The sequence below is a fragment of the Homo sapiens genome, chromosome 11 (assembly GCF_000001405.40).
Source record: "Homo sapiens chromosome 11, GRCh38.p14 Primary Assembly".
Taxonomy (NCBI): Eukaryota; Metazoa; Chordata; class Mammalia; order Primates; family Hominidae; genus Homo; species Homo sapiens.
Window position 1 is genome coordinate 119,322,186 of NC_000011.10, and position 27,775 is coordinate 119,349,960.

A 27,775-nucleotide genomic window follows, 5' to 3' on the forward strand; every position below is an offset into this window, starting at 1 on the left:
CCTGGGCGACAGAGTGAGACTCCGTCTTAAAAAACAAACAAACAAAAAACAACTGTGTTAACAGCTGGCACGGTGGTGTGCACCTGTGGTCCCAGCTACTCGAGAGGCTGAGGTAGGAGGATTGCTTGAGCCCAGTAGTTCAAGGCCAGCCTGCGCAACATATGGAGACCCTCATCTCCAAAAATAAACAAATAAATAATTGTGAAATGCACATAACAGAATACTAACCAGTTTAAACGTCAGCGTTCCGTGGCATTCAGCACATTCACAATGTTGTGCAATTATCACCATAATCAAGTTCCAGAATTTTGTCATCACTCCAAGGAACCAAAATTTGAACCAAGTTTTACCTAACGAACTCCAAAACCTGCGCAGTCTATGTGTAATAATCACAGCTGAATTAAGAGCTCAGTTGTGTGGTAAAGACAGGAAGTGCAACTGGGATTCAGAAAAGGGAGTGTTGATGTGGACTGTGCTGGCTAGGAAAGTCTTTCTGGAAATGTGAAGCCTTCAATGAAAGGTCAGGTTTAGATACGGAGGAGTGAGGAATGATCTTTCGAGGCAGGGGAAATGACACAAGCAAAAAGAGAGAGATGGGACCCACGAAAGGGGCACGTATATGGACAACTACAGAATTTCCCTATCAGAAAGTGTCAGAGCAGCCATCCGGCTAGAAGATGGAGTTGGTGGTGACTTGTCTTGAGATTATATTCACATAGCAATCCCACTTTTTTTTTTTTTTTTGAGACAGGGTCTTGCTCATTTGCCCAGGCTTAAGTGCAGTGGCTCGACCTCGGCTCACTATAACCCCTGCCTCCTGGGTTCCAGCGATTCTTCTGCCTCAGCCTCCCGAGTAGCTGGGATTACAGGCGCACCACCACGCTTGGTTAATTTTTGTATTTTTAGTAGAGATAGGGTTTCACCATGTTGGCCAGGCTGGCCTTGAACTTCTGGCCTCAAGTGATCCGCCCGCCTCAGCCTCCCAAACTGCTGGGATTACAGGCGTGAGCCACCTTGCCCGGCCTAGTCCACTACTTTCATTTCCAGTATCCGTTTACTTGGAGCGCATTGAGGATAGCTTTATTTATGTATTTATTTTTACACGGCGCCTGTCAGGGCCTGGGTTTCACTGCCACACACGGGGCAGTGCATGGTGAGCTGAGGCCCCTGGAAGCTCTGGGCACTCGCGGCCACTGGCAAAGCCCGGGATGATTTTCATCCAACCCCGGGCTCCCCAGCCACCAGAGGGATGTGGGTGGCTGACGCAGCCAGACCTACCTAAGTGGAGAGGGGGCTAGCTTTAGCTACACCATTACCCCTTGGCATCACCCTTGTGAGTTACATGGCTAAGTAGAAATTCAGCACGGTAGAGGGTGCATGCACGTGGGAGCTTGGGCAGATGAGATGGGCTTAGGTTATAGGGGAACAGCTTAAGATAGGGTGGGCAATGGGGAGCCACTGCAGGTTCTTGAGCAGTGGAAAAACGATGTGACATTGGAATTTAGGTTTACCATGGTTTCTTGATTTCATCTTGGCCTGAGAGCGCCCCCTGGTGCCCCTAGTTTGAATTGTTTTCTCATCCTACAGAGCAGGTGGGAGGATGGGGGACTGAAAAGCGGGATTGATGAATCGCAGAAGCCAGACTCTTGGGTTCTGTTTCACTTCATCCTGGGTAATGACAGCCTTGCAACAAAGCTAGGGATGATATGTGGGCAGAGAGGGTTTGAGGTCAAGAGGGGCATTGTAATTCCCTTCTCTGTGTCATAACTCGGTGCATATGTGTATTGTGATTTGGGATACAGCACACTAGTGAGGAACTAAGCTGGGGGCTGGAGACAGGACGATAACTAAAACAAGGGGTCATGTGCTTGAGAAACGTACAGTCTCGTGAGGGCGACAGACAAATAAATAATTATAACACAAAGAGCTGCGTACCAGGGTGCAAATATGCACATAAAACGGTTACTTAACCCAGCCTGAGGTGATGAAAGAAGGCTTCTTGGAAGAGCTGATGCCGAGCTTCATTTTAGGCGGTGAATAGGAGGTAGCCAGGTAAATGGGGGTGGGCTGTGCTGTCTGAAGTGTGGCGGAGCTCGCTATGTGCAGGGGGCTGCTAGGAGTTGGTTAATATTCTGCAAGGGAAGGCTGAGGTTAGTGAAGGATGAGGCCAGATTACAAAGGATTTGTAAGCCATGGTCAATTACTCAGAGCAACAGGCTGTGTATAAATGGTGTTAAGCAGGGGAGCAACCATGAGTGACTTTAAATTAGAGCTCAGGCCCCAGAGGGACAGAACAAAAGGCCCCTCTTACTAAGTTTCCATTTCCCTTCTCAGATCCCTCTTTTCCCTTGGGTGATGAGGTTGAAAACAGCCAATCCCTTCTGGGGAGCCTGCCTCCTGCACACAAAGTGTGGCCTTATTTTACCTCCCACAAGCCAGTTCATTTTATCATAATAGTCTCACAGTAGAATGAGAGATACGTGTGGGGATGGGGGCTCTTCCCTTATGTCATCCATATGTGACTGAGATCCCCTTGGCAACCTCTTGGAGGTGGGATACAGCACTTCACTGAGTCCACTAAAAACAATCCTTGCACCAAATCCATGCAGTGGAGTACTACGCAACTGTTAAAAGAATGAGGACAGGCCGGGTGCAGTGGCTCACACTCAACACTTTGGGAGGCCGAGGCGGGCCCATCACTTGAGGTCAGGAGATCAAGACTAGCCTGGCCAACATGGTGAAACCCTCTCTCTACTAAAAATACAAAAATTAGCCAGGCATGATGGTGCGCGCCTGTGGTCCCAGCTACTCAGGAGGCTGAGGCACAAGAATTGCTTGAACCTGGGAGGCGGAGGTTGCAGTGAGCCAAGATTGTGCCACTGCACTCTAGCCTGGGCAACAGAGCAAGACTGTGTCTCAAAAAAACAGAAACAGAAAAAAAAACAAAACAAAAAACAGTGAGGACAATCTCTATACACTGGTGTGGACTGTAATGGAATAAAACCCATTGAATTTGAATAAAATAGGAATCCATGACTCCAAACTGATAATAAAAAGATATCCATAAACAAATAGATGAGAAGGGAAGGCTATGCTTTACAGTCTTTACCAAACATGATTTTAAATTAAAAAGATAGGTATATGGCTGGGCAAGATGGCTCATACCTGTAATCCCAGCACTGTGGGAGGCCAAGACAGGTGGATGGCTTGAGCCCAGGAGTTTGAGACCAGCCTGGGCAACATGACGAAACCCCACCTCTACCAAAAACAAAACAAAACAATCCAAAAATTAGCTGGGTGTGGTGGCGCACGCCTGTAATCCCAGCTATTCAGGAGGCCAAGGTCGGAGGATCGCTGGAGCCTGAGAAGTCAAGGCTGCAGTGAGACAAGATGGTGCCACTGTACTCTAGCTTGGATGACAGAGCAAGACCTGTCTCAAAATAAATATATAAATAAAAAACATAAAAATAGCTACCTAAAGAGGGATAGAAGGAACAGCCCTCCACCCTCATAACATCTGTGGAGATAAGGCAGGGTATAAATGAAGGCTGACATATCATATGTCTAAATATTTGAAATATTTGAAAGCTAACTAGCTGCTCGGTATGCTCTATCCTCCTACCTTGACAAATATGCCTTCTAATGACAAAATTTAAAAATGTGTAAAGCTGGCTGGGTGCGGTGGTTCACGCCTGTAATCCCAGCACTTTGGGAGGCCGAGGCAGGCAGATCACTTGACATCAGGAGTTCGAGACCAGCCTGACCAACATGGTGAAACCCTGTCTCTACTAAAAGTACAAAAATTAGCCAGGCGTGGTGGCGCCTGCCTGTAATCCCAGCTACTCAGGAGGCTGAGGCAGGAGAATCACTTGAAACCGGGAGGCAGGGGTTGCAGTGAGCTGAGATTATGTCATTGCACTCCAGCCTGGGCGACAGAGAGATACTTTGTCTCAAAAAAACAAAACAAAACAAAAAAGTAACGCTATGGTTTTTGGATGCTCCAAAGTCAACAAAATATCAAAGATAAGTTAACTTAGCTATTATTGCATATATTATTACATATATTATTGCCTGGGTATGCTTATGATAGACTAGCAATATTTACATGTGTAATAAAGTCATACACAATTCATGATTATATATTTATTCCATAAATTAATTTTCCTTGCCTTCACTTCAGGAAATTCCTTAATTATGTTGTTATAATAAAACATTTCTCATAATTCATGTTCTATTGCCAGTAATGCCAAATTAATTGGCCTTTCTTGAGTCATAGTTGTTCCGACGTCTTCAAAAAAATAATTTTTTTTTTTGAGACAGTCTCGCTCTGTTGCCCAGGCTGGACTGCAGTGGTGCAACCTCAGCAAACTGCACCCTCTGCCTCCCAGGTTCAAGTGATTCTCCTGCTTCAGCCTCCCAAGTAGCTGGGTTTACAGGCATGCGCCATCATGCCCAGCTAATTTTTTGTATTTTTAGTAGAGACGAGGTTTCACCATGTTGGCCGGGCTTGTCTCCAGCTCCTGACCTCAAGTGATACACCTGCCTTGGCCTCCTAAACTGCTGGGATTACAGGCGTGAGCCACCGCGCCCCGGCCATTTTTTTTTTTTTTTTGAGACAGGGTCTTACTCTGTCATCCAGGCTGGAGTGCAGTGGTGCCATCTCAGCTCACTGCAACATCTGCACTGCAGTGCAACCTCTGCAACATGGGCTCAAGTGAGCCTCCCACCTCAGCCTCCCAAGTAGCTGGGATCACAGACAAGTGTCACCAGGCTCGACTAATTTTTGTTTTCGTTTTTTTGGTAGTGATGGCATTTTGCCATGTGGCCCAGGCTGGTCTTGAACTCCTGGGCTCAAGGGATTTGCCCACCTCTGCCTCCCAAAATGCTGGGATTACAAGCGTGAGCCACTGTGCCTGGCCTGGCCTTAAAAAATTAATTTTTTTTGAGGGGGGGACGGAGTCTCGCTCTGTCACCCAGGATAGAGGGCAATGGGCGCTATCTCGGCTCACTGCAACCTCTGCCTCTTGGGTTCAAGCGATTCTCCCACCTCAGCCTCCTGAGTAGCTGGGATTACAGGTACCCACCATCATGCCCGGCTAATTTTTGTATTTTTGTGGAGACTGGGTTTCCCCATGTTGGCCAGGCTGGTCTTGAAATCCTGACCTCAGGTGATCCACCCGCCTCGGCCTCCCAAAGCTCTGGGATTACAGGCATGAGCCACCACGCCCGGCCAACAAATTAATTTTAATATGGAGAAACTGCTCTGCTGAGGCCTTAGCAAATGAAATTATTACTAATATGCTTAAGCAAGACTTAGACTCAGAAAGGGATCATACATTTTATATGTCATGTTCAAATATTTTAAAGGGGTTACATATGATAAATATTTGATCCCAGAAAATATTTAAAATATTTTTTTTTCTTATTATTCTTTTTTGAAACAGAGTCTCGCTCTGTCACCCACGCTGGAGTGTAGTAGTGCAGTCTTAGCTCACTGCAGCCTTGAACTTCCAGGCTCAAAGTGTTCCTCCCACCTCAGCCTCCCAAGTAGCTGGGACTTACAGGCATGCATCATCACACTTGGCTAATTTATTTATTTATTATTATAACATTTATAACAAACATGCACATGTGTTTTATGTATGTATGTATGTATTTATTTAGTAGCGACACCATGTTGCCCAGTCTGGTCTTGAACTCCTGGCCTCAAGTACTGCACCCACCTCGGCCTCCCAAAGTTCTGGGATTACAAGCGTGAGCCACGGGGGTCTACAGTTAGCTTGTACCCCTTCCCTTTTTGTGTGACTATATTATTCTATATGAAACGCAGCTGGGTTTTTTTTTCTATTTGCATTTTGGTTTTTTCTTTCTCATTTCTATTGATTTAATTTAATTTAATTTTTGAATATAAAGAACATTAGCATTCTTCCAAAAGTCAAAATTAGGTCAGGTGTGGTGGTTCATGCCTGTAATCCCAGCACTTTGGGAGGCCGAGGCGGGTGGATCACAAGGTCAAGGAATTCAAGACCAGCCTGGCCAAGATGGTGAAACCCCGTCTCTACTATAAACTACAAAAATTAGCCAGGTGCAGTGGCAGGCGCCTGTAATCCCAGCTACTCGGGAGGCTGAGGCAGGAGAATCAGTTGAACCCGGGTGGCAGAGGTTGCAGTGGGCCAAGATCATGCCACTGCACTCCAGCCTGGGTGACAGAGTGAGACTCTGTCTCAAAAAAAAAAAAAAAAAAAAAGTCAACATTATACAAAAACGGTATACTCAAAGGAGTGTCACTTCCTCCCCATCCCTTCCATTCCATTTCTCCACCCGCCACCCCTTGAAGTAATTAATGTTATTTCTGGTTTAACCTTCCTGTGTTTTTATTTTTTCAAAATTAAGCAGCTATCAAGAGAATAAGAAGACAAGCTACACACTGGGAGAAAATATTTGAATAGACACATCTGATAAAGGACTGTTATCCAAAATATACAAAGGACTCTTTTTTTTTGTTTCTTTTTAATACAGATTCTCACTGTGTTGCCCAGGCTGGAGTGCAATGGCTATTCGCAGGTATGAGCCCACTACTGATCGCCACAGGATTTTTGATCTGCTCTATTTCTTTTTTCTTTTCTTTTTACTTTTTTTTTTTTTTTTTTTTTTGAGGCAGAGTCTCACCCTGTCACCAGGCTGGAGTGCAGTGGTACGATCTCGGTTCACTGCAACCTCTGCCTCCCAGGTTCAAGCGATTCTCCTGCCTCAGCCTCCCAAGTAGCTGGGACTACAAGCGTGTGCCACCATGCCCAGCTAGTTTTTGTATTTTTTTTAGAGATGGAGTTTCACCATGTTGGCCAGGATGGTCTCTATCTCTTGACCTCGTGATCTGCCCACCTCGGCCTCCAAAAGTGCTGGGATTACAGGCATGAGCCACCATGCCCGGCCGATCTGCTCTATTTCTGACCTGGGCTGATTCACCCTTCCTTAGGCAACCTGGTGGTCACCCATTCCTGGGAGGTTACCACATTGATGCCGAACTTAGTGCAGACCCCTATTGGTATAGTGCACTACAGCCCAGAACTCCTGGGCTGAAGTGGTCCTCCTGCCTTAGCCTTCTGAGTAGCTGGGACTGTAGGTCTGGCATAAAAGAAACTCTTAAAACTTAAAAATAAGAAAACAACCCAATCTAAAAGTGGGTCCCAAACCTTGACACCTTGTTAAAGAAGATATACAGATAGAAAATAAGCATATGAAATGATGCTCCACACTATATACTGTCAGGGAAATGTAAACTAAAACAGCAGCGAGATACCATTACATACTCATTAGAATGGCCCAAATCCAAAACTGACACTGCAAAATGCTGAGGAAGATGTGCAGCAGCAGGAATTATCACTCATTGCTGGTGGGAATGCAAGACGGTACAGCCACTTTAGAAGACAGTTTGGTGATTTCTTGCAAAACTAAAAATACTCATGCTATATTTATGATCCAGCAATTGTGTTCCTTGGTATTTACCCAAATGAGTTGAAGACTTATGTCCACCTGAATGCACATGAATGTTTATAGCAGACCTTATTCATCATTCCCAAACCTGGAAGCAACCAAGATGTCATTCAATTGATGAATGGATAAATTAGCTAGTACATCCAAACAATGGAATATTGTTTAGTGCTAAAAAGAAATGGGCTATGAAAAGATATGGAGGAAACTTAAATCCATATTGCTAAGAGAAAGAAGCCAATCTGAAAAGGCTACATACTGTACGATTTCAACTATATGACGTTCTACAACAGGTAAAACTATGGAAACAGTAAAAAGATCAGTGGTTGCCAGGAGTCTGGGGGGAAGGAGGGATGAATAGGCACAGCACGGAGAATTTTTAGGGCAATGAAACTATTCTCTATAACACTGTATGATGGATAAATGTCATTAAACATTTGTCAAAACCCATAGAATGTACAACACCAAGAGTGAACCCTAATGTAAACTGTGGACTTCAGTTCATAATAAAGTATCAATAGTGGCTCATCACTTGTTTAAAAAAATATCCAAATGAGCAGTATTTTGGTTACACTTTTATCAATATTATTCATATTAAACAACCATCTCAAATATCTGTGGGTAGTGCACATGCAAGGGTAATTTGATTTTCCATTTGAGACCATAATTTGCTCTTTGTGAATCTTCTTAACGCTGCTCAGTCTTCTAGTTTCCCCTTCCTTCCTTCCTTCCCTCCCTTTCCTTCCTTTCTTCCTTCTTTCCCTTCTTCCCCCTCCTCTCTCTCTTTCTTTGTCTCTTCCTTCCTTCTTTCTTCTTTCTTTCTTTGCCTTTCTTTCTTTCTCTCCTTCCTTCCTTCTTTCTTTTTTTTTCTCTCTCTCTCCCTTTTCTTTCTCTCCTTCCTTCCTCTCTCTCTCTCTCTTTCTCTTTTTCTCTCTTTCTTTCCAGAATCTCAACCCTGTTGCCCAGGCTGGAGTAAAGTGGTGCAATCACAGCTCACTGCAGCCTCGACTTCCCAAATTCAGGTGATTCTCCCACCTCAGCTTCTCGAGTAGCTGAGACTATAGGCACATGCCACCATGCCCAGCTAATATTTTGTATTTTTAGTAGAGACAGGGTTTCGCCATGTTGCCTAGGTTGGTATTGCACTCCTGGGCTCAAGCGATCCGCCCACCTTGGCCTCCCCAAGTGCTGGAATTTCAGGTGTGAGCCATGGTGCCCAGCCCTTCTAGTTTCTTGTCTAAATTAAACCGACTTGTTTTAACAGCATTTAGCCAGCATTCCCATCATGTATCCAAGAGCAGTTGTAAGGTCAGTTGTGATACAGTTTTTTCCAAGATATTTCATCTTTGGGCACATCCAGAATATTGCATATAATCTTTTTATTTTTCCAAAAATGCCATTATTATCAGCACAATTAGGCTGTGTCTTCTAATAACAAGTTCAACTATGTGCCATACAGGGGACATGTCACCAAAAAAATGCTTCTAGATTTTTGGCCAAAATCCTGGCTTGTTCATCTTTATTATCTTTACTAACCATGTCATTACTGTTATCATCGACTTGCCCTTGACAGTCTTTTAAATCAAAGACTAAAATTGCAAGTAGGTTTTTTCCTTAGTGCAAAACTAGGGAAAACTAGTTTTTCCTTAAGTCAAAACTAGAATATAGCTAGTTAAATACACATGCGTGTTTTCTCTATATTTACATATATGCAAATTTAAAGATAAATAGGAATTAATATTGAAAAATGTTCCTCAGCCACATTGCACAAACCACGTTAATTTCTTTTCTTCTTTCTTTCCTTTTCTTTTCTTCTTTTTCTTTCTTTCTTTTTTTTTTGTAAGATGTGTAGGACAGAGTCAGCACGGTGGCTCACGCCTGTAATCCCAACACTTTGGGAGGCCGAGGCAGGCAGATCACTTGAGGCCAGGAGTTCAAGACCAGCCTGGCCAACATGGTGAAACCCCGTCTCTACTAAAAATACAAAAGTTAGCTGGGTGTGGTGGTGCACGCCTGTAGTCCCAGCTACTGGGGGAGACTGAGGCACAAGAAGCACTTGAGCCTGGGAGGTGGAGGTTGCAGTAAGCTGAGCTCGTGCCACTGCACTCCCGCCTGGGTGACAGAGCGAGACTGTCTCAAACAAGTGCAGAAGAGCTGAAGAGCTTCTTCGGGCCTGAACCGTGTTGTTTGCAGAGCTGACGTTTGGGGCTATAGGCTTTTCCGTACCAGTAACGAGCACTGGATCCTGACTGATAGAGGACCCAGGTGCTCCTTTATGGAGACATTTGTTGTCTATGTTTGTAATACTTGGGGTCCTCTCAAGCTTGGGTGGCACTGGGAGGGAACAGGGTGGAGGGTACAAGGATGAAAGCAAACCTTCTGTGACTGTATCTTTTTATAAAGTTTTGACTTTGGGACCCTGTAAATGATTTGCATAATTAAAAAACAAAATAAAAAAAACCAACCTAAAACATGGCAATAATATAGATTTTACTGAATGCTTGATGAGGAGACGATGGGGAGGGCCGTAATATACACAATAGCACAAAACAAAACCCCTGAATTAGACATTCTTTTCTGGTTTTTCCAATCTCTTAATCCTCAGTCCTTCATAGTCTCTAAAAATCCCTTCTATTGTCCCAGCTAGAATCTTACGCTGAGCAAAACAAAACTAAACAAAAAAACCCCTGAAGTTAGCACAACAGCAGAAACCAGCTGCCACCAGAGCAGGCCTCCAGAGGGCTTTACACTACATCTTCCATTAGAAAATACTGCAAGGATAGGGCTTCTAGGTGTTCAGCTTTCTCAATATCTGGCTTATTTTCTTCTCAATCCCTGGGACTAACATTGTCAAACAATTTGAACTGCCTCCCCAAAGCCAGTTGGAGTCTTTGTCCCTGCCCAAAGCAGGATTACCTGCTAGGTTTCCTGGGAGTCAAGGGTTGTGGCTCATTAAAGAGGGCTTTGGATTAGTGAGTCTCAAATCACTCAAAGGGGAGGTCTTGGTCCTAAACGAATGGAAATTCTCTCTTAGAGGATCCTGCCAACTCTGAGAAGGACTTTACATGCTTCTTGGTGTGGAAAACTGGCCAGTTAATTGCACGCAGTGCAGGCACAGCACGTTTGCCAAGTTTGACTTTGGACATATTGTGTAGGAAGCACCAGTGGGATACCCATGAACCGTTCATGTCCAGGAAGCAGCTGGAGCCTGAAGTTTGCAGGACAGGTTCAGGCTGAAGACACAAATTCAGAAATCATCGTGTATACAGGAGAGGAGGCTATGATGGAAACAGAAAGAATATAGGAAAGGGTAATGATTCTGAGGCCAAGGGTGGAGGAAGTGGTGTCAAGTGCTGGAGGAAGATTGATTAATAACAACATAGTGTTCACTGGACAAATAAGATCCCTTAAGAGGAGATGGTACGGGCGATGGGATCAACTGTCTTGAAAGGGAGGTGGGCACATTCTCCAAGATTTGACACTGGCGGGAGGATGCGAGTAGGAAAATAAAAACATCAGCAACACATCACAACACAACAAACCATAACCTGGCCAGGGCCTGAGAGCAGGGAGAGAGAAAGGGTAGGAAGAAGCCAGAGGAGTTTCAGCGACTGCAGTCCTTCCTCTGCACTATAGCGTACCCCTACCACGATCCCAAGGCCTCAGTAAAGGTTTGCTGCACACCTCAGCTTCTTATCAGTGATGCTTTGGAGAATGAAGGACTCTGAGGCAGTGTTCAGGGCAGACTGAAGGAGGACGGACACTTTCAGGAGCCCAGGAGTGGAGATGGAGAATTCAACTCAAGTAGGAAATTCAGCAAAGGTGACCAGGGGAAAGATAAGTCCACTAGGAGTCTGCTAAGCATCCTTGGAGTTAGTAGAAAACGCCAGGATTCCCAATATATTTGGGATGGGGTTTCAAATATATTTTGACTATTGTTTGAGTATTAAAGAAAAGGGCAGGGCCGGGCTTGGTGGCTCACGCCTGTAATCTCAGCACTTTGGGAGGCCGAGGCGGGTGGATCACGAGGTTCAGGAGTTCGAGGCCAGCCTGGCCAACATGGTGAAACCTCGTCTCTACTAAAAATACAAAAATTAGCCGGGTGAGGTGGTGGGCACCTGTACTACCCGGGAGGCTGAGGCAGGAGAATCGCTTGAACCCGGGAGGCAGAGGTTGCAGTGAGCCGAGATCGCGCCACTGCACTCTAGGGTAGGAAGGCCCAGGGTAGGAAGCTGAGCGGTTTCTAAATCTGTAGCCCCTTTTTCTCAATGACAATGAAGTAATCTTCCGAGATGTTGAAAAACCTGGTGAGGAAAGTTTGGAATAGCAGTTTGGGAATCCCCTGTAATAATCTGCTTTCCCTTGTGAACAGCAGGCACTGTCTTAAAATTTTTTTGTATCCTCAATGCACTGTAGGAGTTCAATAAATGATAGAATAGATGAATAAATAGAAGAGAATGAGGAGACGGATCTGGGCAGGCTGCGAAGGCGGTGCTATTCCAAAGCCCAGCCCAGAGGCAGTGACCTCCGACCCAAGCCAAAAAAAAAACCTCGCGTTCAGAGGCCGGGAGAAAGAACAGCTCCCAAATTGAGGGGAGTCCAAGACCCTGCTCTTTTAGAGGGTGGGGCTAGGAGAGCGTATTTCGACGCTGCCCGCCAACGAACCAATCCCCGCCTAAAGGGGGAGGGGATTTAATCTGTCGCCTCTCCTTCCCTTTGGAAAGTAAATACGTTCGGGCGCCATTCAAACGGACCAATGAGTGATCGACGTTTTTGTGGTTGGCCTTCACCGATTGGCTGGAGTTTGTCGTCCCTCCCTCCTCGTCACGCCTCTGGCTCCACCCCTTTGCACACAAGATGGCGGCGCCCAGCGGAGTAGGGGCTGCGCTTGGGGTTTGCTGAAGCTGGCTGCCTCTCCCACTCCCCTTTTGGGTGCAAAGCGCCGCTAGCGGGAAGACGGGGGCCGGGCGGGGACAGGGGCACCTGCGTAGCTGGACTGAGAGCCTGCGCCCAGCTTACATCGACCCCACCCGGCCCCGGCCCGACCCGACGCGACCCGATCCGATCCGATCCCATTCCATCCGTTCCTCGTCTCCTCCCGGTCTGACCCGTTGCCCGGCCGTGGTTCGCCACACCAGGCATCCAAAGCTGAGGTCGCTCCTACGGCCTGGGCTCGCCTTCGCTTTAGAGATGTTTGGCCTCTTCCCTCCCAAACAGCCCATCTTCAAAACCTGGACTCTTGGACTGGCACCTGGCCACCTTTCCCTCTACCAAGACTCCACTTCCGTCTTACCCACTTCTTCCTCAGATTCTTGGTACCCCCTGGGTTGGAGACTGCTCATTTTCCTTCCAAATTAATCCCAGACCCCCTAAAATATTGACAACCTTGACAACCCCCCAACCGAGGAGCCAGACTTTGTTTTGGACTAACTTCCATAGCCCTATCATGGAGGCAGTGTACCTGGTAGTGAATGGGTTGGGCCTGGTGCTGGACGTGCTGACCTTGGTGTTGGACCTCAACTTCCTGCTGGTGTCCTCCCTCCTGGCTTCCCTGGCCTGGCTCCTGGCCTTCGTCTACAACCTGCCGCACACGGTACTGACTAGTCTTCTGCACTTGGGCCGCGGAGTCTTGCTTTCATTGCTGGCCTTGATCGAAGCCGTGGTCCGGTTCACATGTGGGGGCTTGCAGGCCTTGTGTACTCTGCTGTATAGCTGCTGCTCTGGCCTAGAGAGCCTAAAGCTCCTGGGGCACCTGGCCTCTCATGGGGCACTGCGGAGCAGGGAGATACTGCACCGGGGCGTCCTCAATGTGGTCTCCAGTGGCCATGCTTTGCTGCGCCAGGCCTGTGACATCTGTGCCATTGCCATGAGCCTGGTGGCTTATGTGATCAACAGCCTGGTCAACATCTGCCTCATCGGCACTCAGAACCTCTTTTCCCTGGTGCTGGCCCTGTGGGATGCAGTGACCGGGCCTCTGTGGAGGATGACGGACGTAGTGGCTGCCTTCCTAGCCCACATTTCCAGCAGTGCTGTGGCCATGGCCATCCTCCTTTGGACACCCTGCCAACTAGCCCTGGAGCTGCTGGCCTCAGCTGCCCGCCTCCTGGCCAGCTTTGTGCTTGTCAATCTCACTGGCTTGGTGTTGCTAGCTTGTGTGCTGGCAGTGACGGTGACTGTGTTGCATCCGGACTTCACCCTGAGGCTGGCTACCCAGGCACTCAGCCAGCTCCATGCCCGGCCATCCTACCACCGTCTTCGAGAGGATGTCATGCGGCTCTCTCGCCTAGCACTGGGCTCAGAGGCCTGGCGCCGAGTCTGGAGCCGCAGTCTGCAGCTGGCGAGTTGGCCAAACCGGGGAGGGGCACCTGGAGCTCCCCAGGGTGACCCTATGAGGGTATTCTCAGTTAGGACCCGGAGACAGGACACTCTTCCTGAAGCGGGGCGCAGATCAGAGGCAGAAGAGGAGGAGGCCAGGACCATCAGAGTGACACCTGTCAGGGGCCGAGAGAGGCTCAATGAGGAGGAGCCTCCAGGTGGGCAAGACCCTTGGAAATTGCTGAAGGAGCAAGAGGAGCGGAAGAAGTGTGTCATCTGCCAGGACCAGAGCAAGACAGTGTTGCTCCTGCCCTGCCGGCATCTGTGCCTGTGCCAGGCCTGCACTGAAATCCTGATGCGCCACCCCGTCTACCACCGCAATTGCCCGCTCTGCCGCCGGGGCATCCTGCAGACCCTCAATGTCTACCTCTGAAGCCTCCTTCCCTGCCTGCCCACCCCTCCATGCTCCACGCAGGCACTCACGCTAGGACAGCATTAACACCTCATCTCCGGGTCCTGGTCTGAATCCCCTCCTACCCCTGTGGCCATCCTGCCATACATCCAGGACATTGAGTTGGAAGACTATGATCTGGGTGGGGGCAGGATAACATGGCTTCTCTTTACCCAGTGGGTCCCTTCGATGCTGAGGGTGGTGAGTATGTCACTATGCAAGGGCCCTGAGACTATTTGCTGTGGGCTCTCCTCCAGCCTGCCCAGGGCCCACCCAGATGCCTCTGGGGTTACCCCTGTCTGCTTCTGGTTTTTCTGTTGGAGATCTATAGGTCCTTTTCCTGCCTCCTTCACATTTCCTCCCCAGCTTTTGCGGCCACAACACATCAGTGTCATTTGGGTGTTTTGGCAACTCAGGGGCCTTCGGATGATCTTAAACCTTTGTGTTCAGCCAGAGCCCCTGTGCCCTGGTAGGCGTTGGGGTTAGTATCTCTCGGGTGCCCTCAGAGCCACCTCTGCCTGTGATCGTCTGATGAGGCTCCCTCCCAACCTGATCCAAAAGCCAGTCTCAGGAGTTTACCCCTGGGATGGGGGATGCATCTGCACCTGACTTTGGGGCCACGTGCCCTGTGGCACCCCAGCTCACTGGGAGTCTCAGGAGGGATAACCGGATTTCTGCTCTTTCCCCTGTCACTCCCACATCACACAGAAAAATGGCATTCCTCTCTGTCTCTCCCTGGCATGGAGAGGGCAGACTGTGCACATTTCACTAGGGTCCAAATACAGAAGGGCCCAGGGCCCAGGGGCTTGCAGCTTCGTGAGGGGTCTCTGGCCCAGTTTCCAATGAATAAAGTTCTCTTGACAGCTCTGACAGTCTCTGTGTGCATCCCTGCAAGGGAGCAGTTGGTCAAGGCAACAGACCTTGCATCAGGGTCCTTCAGCCCCGCCAGAGTCAGAAGTGTGGGCTGTGGGGGTACCTGGGCTTTAGAGGGGGGACAGGGAAGGAGCTAAGATAGGCTGGGAAGACTATGTCATGGGGAGAGTGCATGCCAGGCATGGCTCTGTGAGCTCTCATCCCTTCTGATTTGTCCCCTCTCGCAACACATGGCTTTCGAAAAGCCTTCTATTTTTTCTGTTTTTTCCCAAATTAAGCCCTTGTAGAGAGGAATGTGAACCATCTCACCCCTTGAGTCAACCTTCCCAGCTCCTCCTCCGGGCCAGTCTTCCTGGGAGGGAGCATGGGGTTCCTCCTGCCTGGAGTCCAGTCTGCCCTCGGATCCCAGGAGGAGCTGGTGTGTGTCTCTGTGTGTCTTGGCATGGGGGTCTGGTGCAGGGCTGGGCTGGAGTGCGGCTGCGGGATCTCCTGGTGGAGGCTGCCTAAGGCCTGTCTCTGGCTCACATTTGGGGCTGAGTCCCCATTGGCCGTATCTGCCCTCACATGACCAGCAGAAGAGCAGGGGCACTCCCCCATAATTGTATGTTCTGTCTGGGACCACAGTGCCTGGGACTGCCTTCAGGAAGGGGGTGCCGGTAGCTCAGAAAGAAACTCTGAGGAGAGGCCCCCCCCCTTCCTTGGGTTGAGGCTGTGCAGATGGGGCTGGGCAGTCCTGGTTTGTTAGTCATTGGGTTGGGGGTGGGCTCCAGGGGTGGGCGGAGCCTTGAGGGGCTTTGTGGCTAGCCTCAGACACAGTGGCTCGGCCCACCCAGGCTATGCCCAGCACAGTGGGGGAGGGCTCCTCATCTCCACCTCAGAACTGGGAGGGCTTGGCACTTGCTCTTTCCTTCCCTCAATCCGGGACAGGGAGCTGAGCAAGGGGAGGCCTGGCTCCTTCCAGTCTCTGTTTAATGTGGAGATAAACATTTTATGATAGAAGATAAACTTCCTGAGTTGGGAGTAAAGGACCCCCCCTTTTCTTCCATCCGCATCTGGAATTCCTTTGGCCGACCTCAATACCCCTCCTCTCCCTCACCCCCCCATAGTCAGGAGCTCAAGCTACCCAGGATCCCTGCGGCATTCTGGGGCCAGGGCACCCCCTTGTGGTCATCTCAGAAACTGCTTATCTTTAGACGCCCGAGGACGCCACTCACTCGGGTTACAGAGCAATAGCTTTCTGCTCATCGGGGGCAGGCAAGCAGCCGGAGCAGCCATGGACGAAAGTCCTCGGCTCTTTTTTGTTGGATGAGGGCAGAGGTATGTGTGGCGCAGGCAGCCCCTACGTGGTTCAGTTGGCATCTTTGAATTAGAAAAAGGTGCTCCCTTTCTCAAGGATGGATGGAGCCCCACACCAGGAGGGCATCCCGCTGTCAGACACTCCCATTCACAACCTAGGTGGCGGCTCTGTGGAGCAGCCTCTCATTCCCCTGGGCCGGCTTCTTGTATATCTGCCGCATATCTCTATTTCATCCAAGAACCCTCCCTTCTGCCTGAACACCCCCTCCACACCATGATCCCAGAAACAGGGAGCCCCCACCACTAAAGAAGAAAGGCTGGAGCCGGTAGGAGGGTTCTTAGGTTTATTGAGTGATCTCTGAGAAAAGGGCCGGCCCCAGGAGCAGGAGGGGGTGGGGAGGATCCAGAGAAGCAGAGGACCAGGAAGAGAGCACCCCACCGTGGGCTCCTGGACCAGAGCAACTGGGGGACTTACACTTGCCAGCACAGCACACTCCTCTGGTCTTGGGCAGAAATCCAGCCACTGCCCCATGCTGCCAGACCTGATCGCAGACAGCCACTGTTCCCATTCCTTGCCAGCAGCAGGACGGAGAGTGCTCTACCCCACCTCCCTAGTCATTCACAATATTCCAGGGGGGCCAGCCCTCCTGGATGACCTGGTTGTCAGCCTCACACCCTCCTTCTAGGAGTGAGAGCATGAGCTCACTTTGCAGTGGGCACTAAGCAAAGACTGGGGAGCTGTGCCAGTCGGAGTACACCAGAAATCCGGAGAAGGTGCTGTCTGTCTTGATGCTGGCATAGATGCCAATGTAGTCACCCACACCCACCTGCACCCACACTTGGTCCTCAGGCTCCAGCCTCACCATGGCCCCCCCCGAGAGCGAGGCTGGCTTGGGCCACCCCCCGAAAAACTGGAAGAAAGAGGCAATGGATTCGCCATTCTTCACCAGATCAAACTGCAGGCTGGCCCGGTAGACGGTGGCATGGACGGCGAAGTAGTAGACCCCAGGCACCTGGCAGGTGAACTTGCCGGTGACGGCGTCGTAATGTCCCTGCTCGTTCACCAGCACGCGGTCGAAGGGCAAGGGTGCGTCAGACGGCGGAGGCACCCGGCTCTCGGAGCGCTTGGCGCTGAAGGCGGATCGCGGAGGCACCGAGCACTCCCCGGCAGGCCCGGTGGGCCCCGCGGGTCCCGCCTCTCCTCGCGGCCCGGGGTCCCCTCGAGGTCCCGGCAGTCCTGCGGGGTAAGCGGGGCGGCAGGGTGAGAGTAGCGGCGGCTCAGCCCGCAGCGGGGCGGCGACTCTAAGGTCACCGTACCCCTCCCCGCCCCTGCCTGAGCTTCGGCCAGCGCCTCCTCCCGCACGGGTACCTCCTCCACCCCTTCCCGCAGGGCAGATCTGGGGGGCTGGCCAAGGGGGCTCCCGCCGCCTGGGCCCCTCCCCCGCTCAGGGCTGCAAAGCGCGGGGAGTGGCGCCCCCTGGCGGGAGACCCGAGTCCCGGACACCGGGAGCTGGAGCTGCGGCCGCGCCTGCTCGGACATCGCCACCGATAGCCGCGGCGGTGCCTTCTTACCCGGCCTCCCGCCCTCGCCTTTCTCTCCCGGAGCCCCGGGCGCGCCGTCGCGGCCGTCGCGGCCATCGCGGCCCGGCAAGCCCTGGCTGCCATGGTGGCCCGGCGTGCCTGGAAGGCCGGGGTGCCCCGGGCAGAGGCTGGGGATCTTGTTGTCGTCCAGTGGGGGCGAGCCGGCCGCCAGGCCCAGGAGCAGCAGGACGAGGAGTGGCCTCATAGCGCTGGCACCGGGAGCCCGGACGCCGGGGTCCTCTCGCAGTCTGTGGACCAGGCAGGACTGGAGTCGGGACCCAGAATCCTGGGACCTGCCTCTCTCCCCACCCCGGCGCGGCCCAGTCGGTCCCCACCCCACTGCCGTGCCCCTGAGGCTGAGCGCTCGCAGGGCCGAGCATCCGGAGAGCACAGGCAGGCGCGAGAGGGTGGGAGCGGCCAGCCCTCCCTCCCACCGCCGGCCCGCGCCAGCCTTTCCCACAGTCCCCTCCCCAGCCCCTTTCCCCTCCTCCGCCAGACTCACCCCCCCTCCCGGCTCCCCGATGGCCTCCTTCGGGGCGCTCGCTACTCCGGACCCTCCAGTTGGTGGTGCTCCAGCCCCCGCGCTTCTCCCCGGCCAGGCGCCCCCTGCCCTGCCGTCACCCCAGTCCTGGTTCGCTCCCTGCCGGCTCCGCTTTCCTCCTCCCAGACTCCAAGAGGAAACCAGTTGTTCAGGGGCCAAGAGCTCCCGGACCGGGAAATAGCTGGGAAATAACTCGTGGTGTCGCCCGGCGGCCGGCCAAAGTTTAGGGGGAGAAAGGAGGGGGAGAGAGACTTGAGCTGGGCACAGAGAGGCAGAACTTCGAGAGACGGACACACAGGGCACCTCCTGTTCCCAGGGCCAGAGGAGAGGCAGGGCAGTGGCAGAGACCAAGGACCAGACCCCATTTCAGGGAGAAATACGCAGAGAGATGAGGGTGGAGAGTTCTAGAGGCAGACAGCCAGTTGGATCCCTAGGGCCTAGGACAGGGGCCTGCCACATGAATAGATGCTCAGTACATTTTTGTTGAATCAAGGAAAAGGTCAGAAGGCAGGCGATGGAGAAGCTGAAAAAGCAGATGGAAAGGGGAAGAGGCCTGGATGGGAAGTGGTCTCGATTGTCCGGTGGCACAGTGTGGGGCCAGTCAGCAGCCTGGGACCGGTAAAGGGACAGGAAGGAGCAGGGAGGGTGGTAGGGTCCCATGAGCCCCAGCTGAGGACTTCTCTTCCCCCTCCCTGGGAGCCCCAGAGAAGGATGGGTAGAGACCCTGCTGATGCTCCTTCCTTTGTTCCCCTGCGTGCCAGCCCTGACCGGCAAAAGAGGACGGGCAGGAAGAGGGCAGGGGCCGGCTTCAGGGTCAGGGCTGGGCACAAGCTTCCAGGTCAGCTGCCTCTGGCAGCCTGTTGCAGTTGAAGGGCCAGGGGGTGCCCAGTAGTGCCAGGCCAGACTGGCACTGGTGCTCCGCTTCCTGGCAGACAGAGCGGCAAGGGGGCAGAACACTGCCTAGTGGGGTGCAACGGGGCACAAGCAGCCCACACAGGAGCCTCCGGAAATGCTGGTAGCAGGGCAGGCTTGTCAGGCTCTGCGGAGGGAGAGTGGCCTTCAGGCACCTGCTCCCAGGCTCCTCCCCTCCCAGGCCCGCCCTCCTTCCCTCCACCCAGAAGACCTTGTAACCGCTGAGGACCTCTACCACCTCCTCCTGGGTGATCATGCCCACCCAGATGTTAGGGAAGGCTGTGGTGTTGTAGCTCAGACCGAGGCACATCTCCACCTGGACAGGCTCACAGGCCAGCTCTGCAGGGGTGGAGGGGAGGGCCACTGTGGGGACTGCTCACTGGCTCTGTGGCCTGTGGCAAGTCACCGAATCGCTCGGTCCTGTGTGTACATGGGTCCAATGGGGGTGGTTGTGAGGAAGCAAGAGGATAACAAAGAGACAGGCTGTACACACTCTGAGGATCCCTGCCATCCCTGAGAGCCTGCTCCAGCATCGCTTGCCAGCCCTGGGCATCATGCAGGCACGTCTTTAATCTCAGGGAACATGGGGCACCCGCGTTTGCAGGGACTGCTTGGGCATCTGGAAGAAACCCCCTGCTCTGTGTAAGAGGATGCCTTCATCTTTGGTGTGGGCTGTGGAAAGGGGCTCTGGGTGACAGAAGGGACTGGTTCTTGAAGCCCCACCAATGATTCCCAGATTCCCATTTCCCTTGGGGTGACACTCAGTACTATTGCCACCACCAGCCGACTGTCTTCCAGGACTCTGTGAAGTGGTCCCAGAGTCAGGATGGTGAGGCCAGCTGGCCCCGCCCCCTCAGGGAGGTTGGGATGGGACACTGTGCAGTACGGCAGTAGGGTTCTGTGAGGTGGGCACCCAGCCTGCTCAGGGTCCCCAGGGGCAGGCTTCTCACCTGGGGGTGGGAACAAGGGGCCGCTGCAGTTGTCATCGCTGCCATCGGTGCAGTCTCTCCACATGTCACACATCCACTGCACACCCTTACACCCTCCTGCCTGGCAGGAGAGCTCACTGGGCCCACAGGGGTCTGCAGGCACAAGGGGCATGGCAGTGCCCGGGGACATACCTACACCCCCAGTACCCCCAGAGTGTCCTGACCAGGGTCCAGAGCCCTTGTCTGTCCCCCTGGAGGTGCCTCTACTGCCCCCACCCACTTGCCCAGGGGCACCTACTCTCCGTGGCATTGAAGGCCAGGTAGGTGGCTGAGAAGCCTCCACTGCTGATGCCATGATCTGTCCTAAACAGCACAGCCAGCTCATGGTGCGAGGAGACGAGGTGGGGGGGTGGCTCTGCTCCACAGAACCTGCCCAAAGCAGACAGCTGTTCTGGGCACCAGCCCTGGCTGACTGAGGGGGCACTGCAGCCTCCCACAGGCCTGGCTCTGAGCTGGGAGCCCTGGATGATGCCAAAGGTGATGGAAGACACAGGGTTAGGGTCTGGCGAGAAAGACACATATATTCAACAGGGAAAGCATTAAACAAACTGTCTGAACTCGAGCCACTTCTAGATGGGGAAAAATCAGCGAAGCAGCCTGGCATTGTGGCTCACACCTGTAATCCCAGCATTTTGGGAGGCTGAGTAGGGAGGATCACTTGAGCCCAGGAGTTTGAAACCAGCCTGGGCGATATAGTGAGACCTTGTCTTTACAAAAAAATTAAAAAAGTAAATTATCTGGGCGTGGTGGCATGTGCCTGTGATCCCAGCTACTTAGGAGGCTGAGGTGGAAGGAGCACTTGAAGCTGGGAGGTTGAGGCAGCAGTGAGCCATGATGGTGCTACTGCACTCCCGCCTGGGCAACAAAGTGACACTCTGCCTCAAAAAAAGAAGAAAAAGAAAAATCAATGAGGGTTTGTAGGGGAGGTGGAAGTGGCCCCTGCCGGTGGGGAGGAACTGGGGCAGGGAGAGGTTTGGGGAAGGACCTCCTGGGGACAGGGAGAGTGTGGGGTGAAGGTTTTGAGGTGAGAGCTGTCTTTAGGGTGATGGTGAAGAGACCCCCGGCCTGGAGTAGCAGAAGAAAATGAAGCTGGAGAATGGAATGTGCTGGGCCGACATGGAAGCCGGGGGTGGCAGACAGTGAGGATGGAGTTATCCATGGCTCTTCCCTGGCTCCTGTACCTGCCCAGGAGGCTGAAGGCCCCTGAGCTGCTGGTCTCATACACCTCCACGTAGTCAAACTTGCACTCGTCCTGAGCCTCCAGGCTGAAGTTGTGGAACTGTAGTTCTATGCTGTGTCCGGCAGGCACCGAGATATGCCAGGTGCAGAGCTGGGGGAGGGCATAGGTGGAGCAATTCATGGCCCCTTCTCCTGTCTCATCCCGGGCACCCAGAAGGGTCTTCTTCCCCCACTGCTGGCTGGGGGGATGGGGTGGTGCTTTCATCATTGGTGGTTCTTAAGGACCTTTAATTTACCTGGTTTCAGAGGTGAGTTGACCCAGTGTGGGAACATCTGGGTACACAGCAGGCACTTAATAATATTCCCCCATCCCCCGTCTGCTTGATCTCTGACCTTCCCAAGTAGAAGGTAGTGTCTACCATGCCATTCCCATTACACTAACTTGGGGATCAGGTGCTTCCGTGTGTGCCCCTCCCGTTCTGCATGGAGCACTGTGCTTACCAGTTGGTGAGGGTACTGCTGCAGGTAGCTGGGAGTAGAGAAAGTGCCCTGGAGGCCAGTCAGATTCCCCCCACACCCTGTAGAGAGGTGGAAGGGCTCATGAGTTTGCTAGGATCTGTGCCTCCATCCAATAGGGCTGGCGGTGATTACAGAGCGAGAGTTTTGGCCATGCCCATGGGAAACAAGTTCTGGGCCAAAGAATGACTGAGCAGGAAATGCTGACGGAGGGCCCGGTTTGAGGCTGGACCAGAGCTGGGGAGCCCAGCTTGAACCCAGATCAGACGCCTGAAGAGAGGACCCCCATGCCTGGCCCGTACCCGAGAACTTGGCACTGCAATTGGTCTCATCACTGCCGTCAGCACAGTTGGCAAAACCATCACACACTGAGTCAGGTAGCAGGCAGATGAGCTGGTCACAGCGGAACTCATCATGGGCACAGCTCCCTGGATGTGGGCACCAGGAGTCAGGGAGGCCCGGAGTCTCCACCCCTTTGACAGGACTGGGAGTGGGTGGAGGGGAAGAAAGTGGACACTCAACAGGCAGGTGGGAACACACTCACCGCGCCCAGGGGCCATAGCCTGGTACCAGGCATGGAAACCAAATCCTTCCACACTGCTGTCAGAGACGAAGACCACCAGGAGGTGGCTGGCATTGGTGTTGAGCGTGGGGGGAGGCACCCTTCCACAAACCCTGCAAGAAGCCAGGTTGGGGGTGAGGGAGGCTCCAAGAGCAGGGTCAGCCAGAGAGGAGCTTGCCTGGGCCTTGCAGTCCTATTTTCTCAACCCCCAAACTGGTGACCATGTGGTCAAAAAGGCTCCTCTGATGTCCCAGGGAGCTCTGACCTTCCTAGCACCTGCACATTTATCCTTGTAGCATCTACTCATGGGGAGATAGGCAGGAGATCCATGTTACAGACTAGGAAACAGGTGAGAGAGGGGAAGTGATCTTCCTCACGGCACACAGCAAGGTGGTGGCAGAGCTGGGCCCAGAGGTCTAGTCTCTCAATTTCTTCCTCGGTTAGCCCTTCTCCCTGCCACTCCCTGATTCTGCTCTTTAGATAGTGGTTCAGGACACGGTGGGATGTCCTGGGGACAGAGGGACCTACCTGAGGAGGGGGCCTTCAGGCTCAGGGGAGAGTTCCAAGCGATCAAAAAGGCAAGAGGCCACACTCTCTATGCTGAGGGCTTCGATCTTGAGCTGTATTGCATGGTCTGTGGCCACCTGGATATGCCACACGCAGTGGGTGTTGGGGGGGTAAGGGTCTGGGTAGTTAGGGCTGCTGAAGAAGCCCCTTGGGCCAGAGAGGAGGCCTCCACAGGCTGCAGAGATGGAGGTTAGAGTTCAGAGGTCAAAAGGAGTGAGGTCCTTTATTCTCAAGGTGCCTCTTCCTCACCCTCCCCTCAACCCCACCCCGTCATCTTGGGCCCTTCTCCCGGAAGATCTGCCCCCAGTACTCACTGGACTGTGGGGAGGGGCTCACGCCTGACTCCTGCTGCCCTTTAGGGGTCCCAGCTGCCTGAGAGGTGGTGATGGTGGGGGTGGTGGTGGTCGTGGTAAGGCCTCCGGCAGGCAGTGGGCTATGGGACGCCCCAGATGGGGGTGCAGCCTGCAGCTCTGGAGGCGAGAAGATGGAGGGTGGCGTTCAGAGGAGCTGGGTCCTGGGAGGCTGGGAGAGCGGCTCATGGAGTTTCATTCCAAAGCCCTCGTTTCAAGCTGTCCCCGGGTACTTACGGGCCAGGATGATGGCCACCAGCAGCCCAAGCAGCAGGAGGAGCAGGCTGGAGAGCAGGAGGACACAGAGCCAGGAGAAGCGGCAGTCTGGCCGTAGCCCTCGAGGACGCCGACCTGCGGGTTGGCAGGTGGGGTTTTGAAAGCCCCTTCTGTTGGGTATTCCTCATGCTGTCCTTGGCTCCTGGGCCTCTCTGTCCTCCCCCAGGTCACCCCCTGGGATGGTTACCATGCCAGGGAGCTGGGACGCTGTAGCTGGCATCCTCTGGGAAAACTGGGGGAGGGCAGGGTGGCCCAGACTCAGGCTCGAAGGCAGGATTGCAGAACTCGGTCTGGAAGGGGGAGATACTTGAGGGCTGAGGGCAGCAGTGACCACTGGTGCTGGGTCTTAGGAGCACGATTCTATGTGGTCCTTACCTTGCTCGATTCTGTTGCCTCCATGCAGAGGATGACATCTGAGAAGTCCTTCATGGCACAAGGCTCTGCATGGCTTTCTGGAGTCCCTGTGACAGCCCAAGACCCCCAAGGGCCCACTCGCTGACCACAAACTCCCTGTCAGAGGGGCAGCCTCTACTACCCGAGGGAAAAGGCTGCCAGGCTAGACCAGTTCTTGGGCTGTCCTTGGTAGAGTGGTTTGGCCTATGGGCTACTCTGTCTCTGTGTGGGGGAAGGGATGGCAGCCAGGAGGAATTCACAAAGGCACGAAATGGTCCCTTAATCCAACTCAGCTGAGGATGCTGAGGTCAAGCCCCTGGCACAGGGTGGCAGTTCTTAAAGGCACAGGCGGTGGCTGAGAACACCCAGCAGAGGAAACTAGGTGCTCTGTGCGGGGATGTGACGAGGGGAGCTCTCCACCCCATCACCCAAGGCACTGAGTGAGCACTTAGGGGGTCGCTGGGAGGGGAGAGAAGTTGCAGGCAGAAGGGAGCCTTAGGTGGTCTGAGAAAGAAGCAGGGTGTAGGGGGTGGACAAAGCCAGCTGCCCACCTTTCCTCCCCACCAGGGTGACAGGGGTATTGGCCAGGCCGGGTCTTTGGAAGGCCCCTGGTAGATCACCGGTGTGACCAGGACAAGAGAGAAGAACATGGCATGAGCAGGGGGACTGGCTGCTCATTCCTGGGACCCCTAAGCCCGCAGGAGAAAGGACAGGGAAGGGGGAGAAGGTGCCCAGGTCTTGGGGAGGGTTGGGGTGTGGAGTCTAGCCACTGGGGCTGTTGCACAGTAGGAAACCTACACCCTGCAAACAAGATTACTTCATGCCTGTTTCTCCATGGGCGAAGTCCTCTTGGAAAATCCCAGCCTAGCCCTGCTGTCCTCAGGGAGAAAGGAAAGGGATTGGTAATCTGTTTTGTGTTAGCCATGCTTAGGCTGAGAGTTTGGCAGGGAGGGAAGTGGGGAGAGAGCCTCATATTTCTGGCTACTATTTGTAGAATGTCTGGGCAAGAGGGCTACATGCAGTTTCTCTCCTTTCATAACTATGAGGTAGCGTCACCATTTTACAAATGCTGGTGCTGGCCTCTGAGAGGTTATGTCACTTTCCCAAGGTCACACAGCTGGTAAGATACAGAGATGAGAGTTGAGCCTAGGAATGGATAGATCTTAGGCTCACGTTTTCTATGATGTACCTCTTTCACCCCACATTGGGGCTGAGGCATGCTGGGGGAGCAGAGGGATCAGAGTGACATGGGGGCAGAGTGAGGAACCCCTTGGGGATGGAAGCAAAGAGGACAGGCTGCCCTCCTTGCACTCAGGAAAGGAGATGCCTCCACCCACAAGTTTTTCTCCATTCGTCCCTGGAGGGTCTTAGTTTGCTTTTGTCTAGGGGGTCAAGCTGTTTCCTAGACCCTTGGAAGTCTAATGGTACATGGTCTTTAGGGAAGAGACTTTTTGGGAGCTGTAGGGACAGGTGCTCTTGGAGAGGATCAGACAGTCCCTGACCACAAAGTACTTCTCATTCTGGGTGGATCAAGACAGAGCAGGATTCCTGCCACACTGTGTGTTAAGAGCCTGGCCACAGGGGCAGCTTCCTGGACAGAGTGGCCCTGCGCTGAGCTTTGAGAATGATGAGCTGGGAGAGCCACGCCCTTGGGTCTGCTCCTCTGAAGCTGCTCGTTCGCTGTGATCATTGAGAGAGAGGTTGCTGTGCCGGGGTCTGGCCAGGCACTGGGCTCATGGAGCCGACTGAGACAAGGTGCCCTCGTCTCAAGGAGCCCCTGCTCTGCTGTGACAGTTCTCAAAGTGGGGCCCGGGGCCTTTTTTTAGAGGACTTGAGAGCTTAGAACTAGGCTCATAATAACACTAAGACATGATGTGCCTTTTTCACACTCATTCATGTTTTCCAGACGCTCCGTGACATGTGATATGACATTGGGGTGAATGCTGAAGGAGACGCGAGTCCAGCTGCCTTCTATTAAGCCAGATGCTAAAGAGATTTGCACAAATATAAAGCCACACTGCCATTCTTACTAATTTTTTTTTTTTGAGACGGAGTTTCGCTCTTGTTGCCCAGGCTGGAGTGCAATGGCGAGATCTCAGCTCACCACAACCTCCACCTCCCGAGTTCAAGGGATTCTCACACCTCAGCCTCCTGAATAGCTGGGATTACAGGCGTGTGCCACCATGCCCAGCTAATTTTGTATTTTTAGTAGAGATAGGGTTTCTCCATGTTGGTCAGGCTGGTCTTGAACTCCTGACCTCAGGTGATCCACCTGCCTCAGCCTCCCAAAGTGCTGGGATTACAGGAGTGAGCCACTGCGCCCGGCCCATTCTTACTAAATTTTTTTTTGTTTCAGAAAATATAGGAGGTTTTTTAAAATTTTTTTTTAATTTTTTTTAATTTACAGTTTTAGTAGAGATGGGGTCTCACTATGTTGGCCAGGCTGGTCTCAAACTCCTGGACTCAAGTAATCCTCCTACCGCAGCCTCCCAAAGTGATGGGATTATATGGTTTAAAAACATTATTGGCCAGGCATGGTGGCTCACGCCTGTAATCCCAGCACTTTGGGAGGCCGAGGTGGGCGGATCATGAGGTCAGGAGATCGAGACCATCCTGGCTAACACGGTGAAAACTGTCTCTACTAAAAGTACAAAACAAATTAGCCGGGCGTGGTGGTGGGCGCCTGTAGTCCTAGCTCCTTGGGAGGCTAAGGCCCGAGAATGGCGTGAACTCGGGAGGCGGAGCTTGCAGTGAGCCGAGGTTGCGCCACTGCACTCCAGCCTGGGCGACAGAGCGAGACTCCGTCTTACTTTAGCTTGTAAAGGGTTCATTATATTAAAATTTATTGTTTAAAAATTAGTAAGAAAATACTTAAATTTCTCTCGGCTTTAATATTAATTTGGTAAATATTAATAGATAGAACCCACATAAAGCAAAGGTCTTTGGGGTTCTCCATAATTTTTAAGAATGTAAGGGAGGTCGGGTGTGGTGGCTCATGCCTGTAATCCCAGCACTTTGGGAGGCCGAGGCAGGTGGATCACAAGGTCAGGAGATCGAGACCATCCTGGCTAACACAGTGAAACCCCATCTCTACTAAAAATACAAAAAAGTTAGCCAGGCGTGGTGGTGGGCGCCTGTAGTCTCAGCTACTTGGGAGGCTGAGGCAGGAGAATGGCATGAACCTGGGAGGTGGAGCTTGCAGTGAGCTGAGATCGTGTCACTGCACTCCAGCCTGGGTGACAGAGCAAGACTCCGTCTCAAAAAAAAAAAAAGAAAAAAGAATGTAAGGGGGTCAGCTGGGTGCGGTGGCTCACGCCTGTAATCCCAGCACTTTGGGAGGCTGAGGTGGGTGGATCACCTGAGGTCAGAAGTTCAAGACCAGCCTGGCCAACATGACGAAACCCCATCTCTACTAAAAATACAAAAATTAGCCGGGCATCGTGGTGAACGCCTGTAGTCCTGGCTACTTGGGAGGCTGAGACA

The 27,775-nt window shown here is 52.5% G+C and overlaps 3 protein-coding genes and 1 pseudogene across 4 annotated transcripts, besides 2 other annotated features; 1 reads left to right on the forward strand and 3 right to left on the reverse strand.

The window, feature by feature from the left end:
- Positions 1-1,107: 1,107 nt before the first annotated feature.
- On the reverse strand, positions 1,108-1,224 carry LOC124900316 (uncharacterized; annotated as a pseudogene).
- Positions 11,984-12,875: an enhancer, noted in NCBI's record as "H3K27ac-H3K4me1 hESC enhancer chr11:119204879-119205770 (GRCh37/hg19 assembly coordinates)". NCBI's record gives its function as "activates a minimal SCP1, AML or CMV promoter by ChIP-STARR-seq in naive H9 embryonic stem cells {active_cell/tissue: H9 hESC(naive)}" and the evidence as "EXISTENCE:reporter gene assay evidence [ECO:0000049][PMID:30033119]".
- Positions 12,342-15,124, forward strand: RNF26 (ring finger protein 26). Its single transcript, NM_032015.5, has one exon. It carries the CDS (start codon positions 12,938-12,940, stop codon positions 14,237-14,239), a length of 1,302 nt encoding a protein of 433 aa, NP_114404.1. The 5' UTR covers positions 12,342-12,937; the 3' UTR covers positions 14,240-15,124.
- C1QTNF5 (C1q and TNF related 5) lies at positions 16,757-24,520 on the reverse strand. Of its 2 annotated transcripts, NM_015645.5 has the most exons (15): positions 24,275-24,520; positions 24,087-24,189; positions 23,861-23,974; positions 23,588-23,743; positions 23,235-23,448; positions 22,689-22,819; positions 22,447-22,572; positions 22,130-22,206; positions 21,631-21,779; positions 20,688-20,818; positions 20,411-20,542; positions 19,672-19,799; positions 18,510-19,587; positions 17,999-18,255; positions 16,757-17,663 (listed from the first exon to the last, which is right to left on the reverse strand). In NM_015645.5, exons 14-15 carry the CDS (start codon positions 18,210-18,212, stop codon positions 17,146-17,148), a joined length of 732 nt encoding a protein of 243 aa, NP_056460.1. In that variant the 5' UTR covers positions 18,213-18,255; positions 18,510-19,587; positions 19,672-19,799; positions 20,411-20,542; positions 20,688-20,818; positions 21,631-21,779; positions 22,130-22,206; positions 22,447-22,572; positions 22,689-22,819; positions 23,235-23,448; positions 23,588-23,743; positions 23,861-23,974; positions 24,087-24,189; positions 24,275-24,520; the 3' UTR covers positions 16,757-17,145. The 2 variants fall into 2 exon arrangements, with proteins under 2 accessions (NP_056460.1, NP_001265360.1); NM_001278431.2 differs by lacking the exons at positions 19,672-19,799; positions 20,411-20,542; positions 20,688-20,818; ... (7 more) ...; positions 24,087-24,189; positions 24,275-24,520 and having other exon boundaries at positions 18,510-18,698.
- MFRP (membrane frizzled-related protein) lies at positions 16,757-24,520 on the reverse strand. Its single transcript, NM_031433.4, has 15 exons — positions 24,275-24,520; positions 24,087-24,189; positions 23,861-23,974; positions 23,588-23,743; positions 23,235-23,448; positions 22,689-22,819; positions 22,447-22,572; positions 22,130-22,206; positions 21,631-21,779; positions 20,688-20,818; positions 20,411-20,542; positions 19,672-19,799; positions 18,510-19,587; positions 17,999-18,255; positions 16,757-17,663 (listed from the first exon to the last, which is right to left on the reverse strand). Exons 1-13 carry the CDS (start codon positions 24,326-24,328, stop codon positions 19,363-19,365), a joined length of 1,740 nt encoding a protein of 579 aa, NP_113621.1. The 5' UTR covers positions 24,329-24,520; the 3' UTR covers positions 16,757-17,663; positions 17,999-18,255; positions 18,510-19,362.
- Positions 17,817-17,916: a silencer, noted in NCBI's record as "silent region_3979". NCBI's record gives its function as "represses an Ori minimal core promoter by ATAC-STARR-seq in GM12878 lymphoblastoid cells {active_cell/tissue: GM12878}" and the evidence as "EXISTENCE:reporter gene assay evidence [ECO:0000049][PMID:35858748]".